The sequence below is a fragment of the Homo sapiens genome, chromosome 11 (genome assembly GCF_000001405.40).
Source record: "Homo sapiens chromosome 11, GRCh38.p14 Primary Assembly".
NCBI classification, from domain to species: Eukaryota; Metazoa; Chordata; class Mammalia; order Primates; family Hominidae; genus Homo; species Homo sapiens.
In genome coordinates this window covers 6,007,112-6,017,380 of record NC_000011.10, presented here as the reverse complement: position 1 = coordinate 6,017,380, position 10,269 = coordinate 6,007,112, and the positions used below count along the sequence as shown (strand labels likewise).

Genomic DNA, 10,269 nt, shown 5'->3' with positions numbered 1-10,269 from the left:
TTTAGTAGTTTAACTATAATATATCTTGGAGAATACCTTTTTGGCTTTTATTTATTTGAGAATATTTGAGCTTCCTATATCTAGATATCTAAATCTTTTGTGAAACTTGGAGAGTTTTCGGCAATTACTTTGTTAAATAGGTTTTATTTGCATTTGCTTATCTCTTCTCTCTTCTCTTTCTAGAACACCTAAAATTTGAATATTTGACCATTTAATGGTGTCACATTTATCACAAAGGGTTTCTTCATCTTTCAGAATTTTTTTTTTTCCTACAGCACCCAATATTCCCAGGAGGTCTCTCATCCAAGTACTAACCAGGCCTGACCCTGCTTAGCTTCCAAGATCCAATGAAATTGGATGCATTCAGGGTGGTATGGCCATAGACTAAAAAATATTATTATTTTTTTTGGTCTGACTGAATTATTTTCAAAAGCCTGTCTTCAAGTTCTGAAGTTATTTCTTCTGCTTAACCTAGTCTATTGTTGAAACTCTATTGTGTTTTTTATTTCTTTCACTGAATTATTCAGTTCCAAGTTTTCTGTTTCTTTTCTTTTTTTTTTAATGATATCTCTTTGTTGAATTTCTCATTTAGATTCTGAATTGATTTTCTGGGGTTTTTTTTTGTATTATTTATCTGTGTTCTCTTGTATCTCACTGAACTTCTTTAATAATATTATTTGAAATTCTTTTTCAGGCATTTAATAAATTTCTTTTTCATTGGAATCTGTTGCTGTAGAATCACTGTGTTACTTTGGAGATGTCATGTTTTCTTGCTTTTTCACACTTCTTGCTTCCTTACATTGGTATCTGCACATTTGGTGTAACAGTCTCTTTTTTTCATTTTTTTTAAGATTCACTTTTGTAAGGAAAGAATTTTTGTGTGTGTGCATGTAACTATAGTGTTAGTTGGGTAGGGCACTTTAGCTTTGATTTTGGGTGCTTGCAGTAGTGTAGTCTCCCTAGGAGTTCTTCAGTTGTAATCAGTGAGTATTAGTCCATTCTTACACTGCTAGAAAGAAATACCTAAGACTGCGTAATTTATTTAAAAAAGACATTTAATTGGCTCATGGTTCCTCAGGCTGTACAAGAAGCATGGCAACCTCTGCTTCTGGTGAGGCTTCAGGGAGATTTTACTCATGGAGGAAGGCAAAACAGAAGCAGCCATCTTACATAGCAAGAGCAGGACCGAGAGAGAGTGGGGAGTTGCTACACACTTTTAAACAACCATATCTCATGATAATATTTACTATCATGAGAACAGCACCCAGGGGGATGGTGTTAAACCATTCATGAGAAACCACCCTCATAATTCAATCACCTCTCACTAGGTCCCACCTCCAACATTGGAGATTACAATTCGACATGAGATTTGGGCGGGGACACAAATCCACACCATAGCATTCCATCCCTGGCCCCTTGCAAATCTCATGTCCTTCTCACATGGCAAAATACAATTATGCCTTCCCAACAGTCCCCCAAAGTCTTTACTCATTCCAACATTAGCTTGAAAGTCCAAAGTCCAAAGTCACATTTAAGACGAGCCTAGTCCCTTCCACCTATGAACCTGTAAAATCAAAAACAAGTTACTTCCATCATACAACGGGGGTACAGGCAGTAGGAAATTGGCCAAAGGAAAAGTGCTACAGGCCCCATGGAAGTCTGAAACCCAGCAAGGAAGTCATTAAGCCTTAAAGCTCCAGAATAATCTCCTTTGACTCCATGTTCCACATCCAGGGCACACTGATGCAAGAGGTGGGCTCCCAAGGCCTTGGACAGCTCTGCCCCTGTGGCTTTGGAGGGCTCAGCCCCCACTGTTCTCACAGGCTGGCATTGAGTTCCTATGGCTTTTCCAGGCACAGGATGCAAGCTGCTGGCAGCCCTAGAATACCAGAATCTGGAGGATGGTGGCCCTGTTCTTACAGCTCCACTAGGCAGTGTCCCAGTGGGAACTGTGCGAGGCTCCAACCCCATATTGCACTCTCTGAAGCAGTGGCCTGAGGTATACCTGAGCCACTTTGAACCAGGGATGGAGCTAGAGCAGCTGGGATGCAGACAGCAGTGTCCCCAGGCTGTGCAGGGCAGCAGAGCCCTGAGCCTGGCTCACAAAACCGTTCTTCCCTCCTAGGCTTCTGGACTTGTGATGGAAGGGGCTACTGTGAAGGTCTCTGAAATGCCTTTGAGATTTTTTTTCCCCATTGTCTTGGGTATTAGCACTTGGTTTCTTTTTACTTATGCATATTTCTGCAGCCTGCTTGAATGCCTCCCTGAAAATGGGCTTTCCTTTTCTACCACATGGCCAGGCTGCAAATTTTTCAAACTTTTATGCTCTGCTTCCCTTTTAGATATAAGTTCCAGTTTCAGGTCATTTTTTTTTTTTTTTTTTTTTTTTTTGCCCATGAATATGAGCATAGGCTGCATCTTGAATGCTTTGTTGCTTAGAAATTTTTTCTGCCACATACCCTAAGTCATCTCTCTCAAGATCAAAGTTCCACAGATTCCTGGACAGGGGCACAATCCAACAAAGCTCTTTGCCAAGGTGTAACAAAGGTGACCTTTACGCCAGTTCCCAATAAATTCCTCTTTTCCATCTGAGACCTCCTCAGCCTGGACTTCATTATCCATAGTACTTTCAGCATTTTGCTCACAAAAATTTAACAAATCTCTAGGAAGGTCCAAACTTTACCTCATCTTCTTGTCTTCTGAGCCCTCCACATTCTTCCAACATCTGTCCATTACCCGGTTCCAAAGTTGCTTCCACATTTTCAGGTATCTTTATCAAAATGCCTCACTCTTTGGTACCAATTAGCTCATAGTTACACAGGCTGTACAGGAAGCATAACAGCATCTGCTTCTGGTGAGGACTCAGGGAGCTTTTACTTATGGAGGAAGGCAAAGAAGGAGTAGGTATCTTACATGGAAGGAGCATGACCAAGAAAGAGGGAGAAGGTGCTACATACTTTTAAACAAACAGATCTTATGATAACTATTGACTATTATGAGAGCAGCACCCGGAGGATGGTGTTAAACCATTCTTGGAAAGCACCCCCGTGAGTCAATCGTCTCCCACCAGGCCCTACCTTCAACATTAAGGATTACAATTTAACATGAGATTTGGGTGGGGACACAGATCCAAACTATATCATAGTGTCATTAGTTTTTGTGTTTTTTTCTCAGTGGCTTAGGCTGTGGTTGTTATTGAAGACTTCAGGCTTTGCTGGGGACAATGATGTCAGATGTGCTGGGCTTTGAGCATCAGTGGTGGCAGTAGTGGGCTGTGTTTTCCTGTCTTTGGGCCAGTAGGCAGCATACGTGGACTCTGGTGTTAGCAAGTTGAGATGGGCTGATTCTTAAACCTTCAGGCAGCTTGTTTGGGTACTGGTAGTGGCAGTGGTGGGCCAGGTGTTTGTGCTGATCCTTGGGCCTCTGGGTAGCATGCATTGTGTTGGCAGTGGTAGCAGTGATTGCAGGGCATCCGTCTGCTTCCAGGTGGCATGCACAGGTTGCTGGGAGTGTTGGTGACAGGCTGGGAAGGCAAGTCCTCAGGCCCCCAGGTAGCACATATAGGTGGGTGCCGGTGGTGGCAGACAATGCTGGCCTGACTTTAGGCTCTCTGATGGTGCACATGGGCACAAGCTATGATGAGTGGGGTAGAATGATTTCCAAACCCCCAGATGTGTGCTTGGGCATCAGCCTCAGGTTTTTGTTTCATTATTAGGCTCTCTGATGGTGCACACATGTGCCAGAAGCAGAAGACAGAGTGGGTTGATCCCTAGGTTCCTGGACTGCACAGCTGAGTGGGCCCAAGCAAAACTCAGGGTGCCATGCCCACCCTGCTGAGGGCACTGGGTTCCTGCACCTCAGGAAGATGCTCTGTGCAGGGCTACCTGGGGCAGTGTCCCCAGATTCCACCCCACATCAGGGTGACTGCCAGGCCTGACACTCCCAACAGCTGGGCCTGGGGCCCATGATCTGCTCCTGGAGGATCCCCCCAACAATTGCCTCCCCCTGCAGGGCCGCGAGCTGGGCAAGGGGGAGTTCTGGGCTGCCCTTGACCATCAGGATCACAGCGGGAGCTTGTGGAGATGTCACCCCTGCCTCCAATGCCAGCCTGTGCCCAGCAAGGGCCTGGAGCCCCTGCCACAGGCTGTGAGGGGATGTGGCTGAGGCTGCATGCTCCATGGAGCTGATAGGAGCCAGGAGCAGGCAGCAGCCCCACCCTCCCAGGCATGGCTGCAGCTGCCCAAATCAGAGCTGTGGACCTGGACCTCCCTGTGCTCTTGGGCAGGAGTCCCACACCCCTGGGCACAGATGCAGCCACCCAAGTTGGGGCTGTAGACCCGGGCCTTTCTGCGCTCTTGGGGGCTCAGGAAGGCCACCCTCTGCCCTTGCAGGCTCAGAGGTGCCTGCTCCTGCTGCATGGCCTCTCCACACTCCCAGAACCTACACAGATCTCAGAGCAGAGTTGGGGCTGAGCTTGGGTGCTATCACAGCCCAGCTGGTGTGCACATGCTCAGGCCCTGCCACCTTGGCTGCCCTGGACTTTGGACACTGACAAGTGTTGGAGGAAAGCTGAGGGAGGTGCTGAGGGTGGCTTGGCAGTGGCCTAAAGGTGCCCCTTGGTGCAATTAGCCTGAGCACCATGGATGGCGGCAGGAGGCAGATGGACTGGAGTGAGGACTTGTGGTGCCTTTTCTGGGCTTGCCCCCGGCTGCCCATGGACCAGTCATGCACACTTCCTCTCCTATAAGGCCCATAAAAGCCCCTGGATCAGCCAGAGCAGAGAAGAGGATCGAGAGATAATGAGATGACCAGCTGCAGGGAGGAGCTACCCTCTCCCCTAAGAACTGCAGACAATGGGATGACCTGCCTGCAGAGAGGAGCCACACACTCTATGCCTCCTCTCTGCTGAGAGCTGCAGACAACAGGATGACCAGCTGAGGAGCTACCCCCTCTGCTGATAACTGAACACTTGCTGGGATGACCAGGTGCAGAGAGGAACTACTTTCTCTGCTGACAACTGACAATTTGTTGGCATGACCTATCTGCAGAAAGGAGCTACCCTGTCTGCTAGAAGCTAAACACTTGTGAGGACACCCTGGCTACAGAAAGGAACTGCCCACTTCAGGTCTTCTCTGAGCTGTTCTATTGCTCAATAAAGCTCCTCTTCATCTTGCTCAACCTCCGCTTGTCTGTATACTTCATTCTTCCTGGTCACAGGACAAAATCTCGGGACCTGCTGAATGGCAAGGCTAAAAGAGTTGCTGTAACAGAAATAGGGCTGAAACATGCTCCTTGCTCACCACATTGCAGGTGAAAAGAGGAGCTACAGCCCTTTCGGGAGCCCAGATCTGGGAGCTCCCTGAGCCGGGGCTGTGACTCCCTCTTTGGGGCCCTATGGTTCCTGGTGTCTCCAAGCTTCTGGGCACCACCACATTCCCTGGTGCCAGCCGGGGAAGCTGCTTGCAGTGTGCCTAGTCCAGCTGCAGCCACATAGAGAGCTGGTGCCCATCCTGGCACCTGAATCTGTCTGCCCGTGGCAGCAGCTGGCATGTCTGACTGCAGAGTGGCCAGACCCCATGCTCGCTCACACCCACCCCTCACTGCTCTGTGCCTGACTCCAGTCTCCCTTGGAGGTGTGGGATCCAGGCTGGTAGCATGAGTTGAGTGTAACCTGCCAGGCCAAATGGACAGAACGAGCCGAGTGGGCCCAGGCAAAACTCAGGCAAAGGCACCACTGGCCAGAAGTTTCTAGCCATAAAAGCGACACCCCAAAGATCCCATAACATTGTCATTGATTAAAATGCCATCATCTGTCATTTGCCACATGATTGTACTTTCAGGATGAATTGAATGCTCTGGATAATGTCAGGACATGTTTTGAACTGAGGCAGATAAAATACAGGTATCTAGATTCATTACCTGTCCAGCTTGATCCAGAGAAAGAGAGAAAAATTGCATGAACAGAGCTAACAAGGGTTTAAAATGCAAAAATTTATTGTTTAAGAACATTTTCCAATGTCTCACACTGAAGGTTTATTCCGTCCATTACATTAGTATATGAGTGCTGCCCTCCATATAAAGAGCATTCCTGACTTCCTTTTCATGGCAGACTATGCAGCATAAAAAATTCCCCAGCTGTTAAATAAAATATATGTGTGTATATATATATATATATAAAATAAATCTCCTCTCAAAAGCACAGTTATGTTTGCAAGAAAGTAATTTGCTAGTTAGTGATCAAAAAGTGATGAGAGATGTAATAAGACTGATAGACATTGTATTTATGGCTGTGATAGGAGCATTTATTAGTTTTTACACAAAGGGGTTTGCATTTTAACTTTTTGACTCTTTTATAATAACACAGCTTAAAACACAAACACATTTTAGTGGTTATACACATACAGAAAATAAGAATTTGAATACTCACAAGGGGAGGAGATAAAATTAAGGCACCCAGATACTCACAGTACCAGGGATCAGTACTTTTAATGAAGGGGCAGACAAAAGAAACCACTCACACATTCACGTGCACACACACACACACACACACACACACACACACATTTCTGTCTTGAACTAGGCATTAGAAAGAATAAAAAAATCCCTCAGATAGGTATGATTTGATATTTATAATATATGGTCTGGGGAATCCCAAGGGGAGAAATTAGTATGAAATGTCTGTCTTAGATTGTTCATGCTGCTATGACAAACTACCTGAGGCTGGGTAATCTGCAAAGAATAACAATTTCTTTCTCACACTTCTGATGGGTAGGAAATCCAAGATCAAGATACTGGCAATTTCAATGTCTGATGGGAGCCTGGTCTCTGCTTTTAAGATGACACTTTTAACACTGTTCTAACATGGTGAAACTGCAAAAGGAGGCAAAAACGACCTAGCTAGTTTCCTCTAGCTCTTTTATAAAAGCACTAATCCTAATGAGGGAATATCTCTCATGCCCTAATCACCTCCCAAAGGCTACACCTCTTAATACTTTTGTATTAGGTAGGGATTGAGTTTCAATGTACCTTTTGAAGAGGACCCAAACATTCAAACCATAGCAGTGTATTTAGGGTGATCCTAAGAGATCTAACAGAAATAGCTTTGTTGATCATAAGGTAGCATTTCAAAATTACAAAGTCGGCATGAGCAAGAGTCAGTAGAATTAGATATCAGAATTTTGGAAAACAGGATTATCAGTCACAAGTTATATATAACATAGCTATGTTTAAAATGGTTAAATAAATTAAAGATGGAGTAAAAAAGCATGAGAAAGAAGTCCTAATTTATTGGAAAACCAGGTATTTTTTTTAAAAAAACACCTATGACTTCTAGAATATCTAAAAAATGTAATCACTGACATTAAGACAAATTACAAAAGATGGATATAGCTTAGTTGAGAACTGATAAAATGGAGCTAAAGTTGAAGAGCTTAATCTGAAACCAATACAATTTGAAACAGAATGGAATGGGAAATAGAGGTTAAAAGATAAAGAGAATTTAAAAAGAAGGTTCAATATAGATGGAACTGGATTTGCACAGAAGAATGTAGAAAATAGGGAGGAGGAGAAACATTCAAAGGGATAATGGCTGAATTATCTTCAGATTCAGGAGCTTAATTAATCATAAAGAGAATAACTTTTAAAATAAATCTAGACTCATTTACTAACATCCAAAACCCCAAAGACAAAAAGTTCTGAATAGAGCCGGATAAATAGTACATTACCTATAGAGGAGCGGCAATTTGACAGACAATGCAATTCTTAACAGCAATAGACATCAGAAGTCTGTGGAAATATATAATGTATTATGTGTGTGTGTGTGCATGTGCTCACACGTATGTGTGTGTAACTCAAATAAATTGAAATATATTGAATTGAATATATTAAATTTGAATACACATGTAAAATACTTGTCAATAATCAGATTTTTATCCAGCTAAATCATCACTATAAAAGCTGCTTGAATTAATCAAACATAAACATATTTGTAAAAGCACTGAAGAGTTAAGAAGGAAAAATCAAAATTTTGGAGCAGTTAAAAACTGAGAGAGAGAAACCCTGGATTTACAGCTTCATTTGTTCTGAAGACTTTTGCCAATCTAGAAGAAACCAGTATGAAATGGAGCAAAAATTTGGCAATTTCCTGGCATGAGGAAAGAAAAATCAACGGCAGAGTCTGATGGGATCTTGGTAAATACTCTCAGGATGTGGTTGAACTGGAAATGTATCAGTCTTTGTGTTAACTGGTGACTTTTAAGTTTATTACATCTGCAAAGACCCTGTTTCCAAATAAGATTACATTAACAGATGCTAGGGGTTAGGACTTCAACATATCTTCATTAGGGGTACAATTCAACTCACAACATGCATTACTTAGATTCTACATCAGTAAATTGTGGATTATAATAATATATCTCTCATTTGGTTAATATTCGGATTAGATGAAATAACAGGTAATAATCAGAATAACATGACCCATTAATATCTCAATGAAGATTTATTATGATAAATACATACAGGATATATACAGGATATAAATACAGGATAATACAATCCTTGGTGTAATTATATGTTACATTTTGGTCTCCCTCTAAGATGGCAGGAATGATTCTTTGTTGTACTGCATTTATAACATGTAGTATAGGGCTTAGTAAATTATAGAGTCAAGATTAATGTTTGTTAAATGAAAAAATAAATTGAATTTTATCCTCGCAACTACCATGTATTGAAAGGTTCATTATCCTCATATTTCAGATGAGGAAATTGTGGTTCTGAGAGTCTCTAACATTGCCCAAGTAGAAGCGGCCAGAAAGTGGTAAAACAAGCATTCGAACAAAAGCATCACATTTTCTCTTCCCAACCTTCCCATGATCTGAGAGTGGAGAGGAATTATTTATTTATAAGAAATTCTGAGGATAAGAATATTTTGCACAGTTTAAACTGCATGCTCTTAGCAATATACATTTCCTTGAGCAATTATTCACTCATGAAATAGTTTTCTTCATTTAGCATGTCTACTAACTTTATTTGATGCTTCCATTGTCCTTGGAGCTTTACCTCAGACACCTACATAGCAAGATAGAGATGCGGCCAGAGTTACTGTATGTAAGGAGTGGGATTATATTCCATCTACATTTTTGCCCTAATGTCTCCTTCTCAGAAGTTGTGGGGAGGAAACCATGAGTCCTAGAAAAAGACTTGTTCTTCTCTCTCTAAGATTCTTATGCCCAAAGCCCACATGATCCTGAATATTCTTCAGGAGAGCCTATATTCTAGGTCCTATTGTGCATGAGTGGTGACTGTTCTGGTGACCATTCCATTTGTTTTTTCAAGGAAGCAATGCCAGGCATTGCTCTATGGAAAGTGAGTATTGTTAACAATTGCATTGTCCGAAACCACACTTACGAAACAAAAAGTTTAGACAAAGAAAAGCCATGAAGATAAAATCTTGGACATGACACCATGAGCATGAAGAGGGCCACTCCCAGGGATCTCTGGGGTCCAGACCACTGATACTCCCACTGCATGAGAAAGGTTCACAGGAAAAGCACTCTCTGCTCCCCTCAACTGGCCACGGTCCATGCTCCTTTCATTGGTGGGAATGTTCCTCTAGTACTTCCCTCTAGAGTTACAGTGCTGAGGATAGCCTGATTCAGTTTCTTCCTTACTGGTGTATTCAGAGAAATTATCCTGAAAGAATTCCCATCACTCAGTTTCCTTACACTTTTTTTTTCTAGGATTTCTTTTTCTTTTTCTTTCTCTTCCCTCCTTTCTTCCTATCTTTCCTTTCTTATTTTTAAAATAAAATTATATATAAAGTGTAAAAAGTGATGTTTTGATACACATAGAGTGCATCACACTGAATACTACAGTCACACTAATTAGCACATCCATTGCTTTACATCGTTACCTTTTCTTGTGGTGGCAAGTCTTAAGATCTATTGTCTTAGCAAATTTTAACCATATGATAAAATATTATTCCCATCCCCACACTTCACATTAGATCTCTAGAACTTATTCATACTTGTAACAGAAATTTTATATCCTTTGACAAACATCTCTCCATTTCCTTCTCTCCCTGCCCCTTGGTAACCACCAATCTACTCTTTGCTTCTGTGAATTTGACTTTTTAAGGTTTCACACATGATGTGAAATTATGCAATATTTTTCTTTCTGTGTCTGGCTTATTTTACCTAGATGAATGCCATTTTTGTTAATTAGACTTCCCAAGTGCCTTTGAACTCTTTCACCCTCACTCTACTCCCAATG

At 42.4% G+C, this 10,269-nt stretch overlaps 1 protein-coding gene and 1 pseudogene across 2 annotated transcripts in view; both read right to left on the bottom strand.

The window, feature by feature from the left end:
- The window catches only part of OR56A3 (olfactory receptor family 56 subfamily A member 3), a 79,760-nt gene that overhangs the window by 4,630 nt on the left and 64,861 nt on the right, over positions 1-10,269 (bottom strand). The gene's annotated exons all lie outside the window — the stretch shown is intronic.
- On the bottom strand, positions 267-385 carry RNA5SP329 (RNA, 5S ribosomal pseudogene 329; annotated as a pseudogene).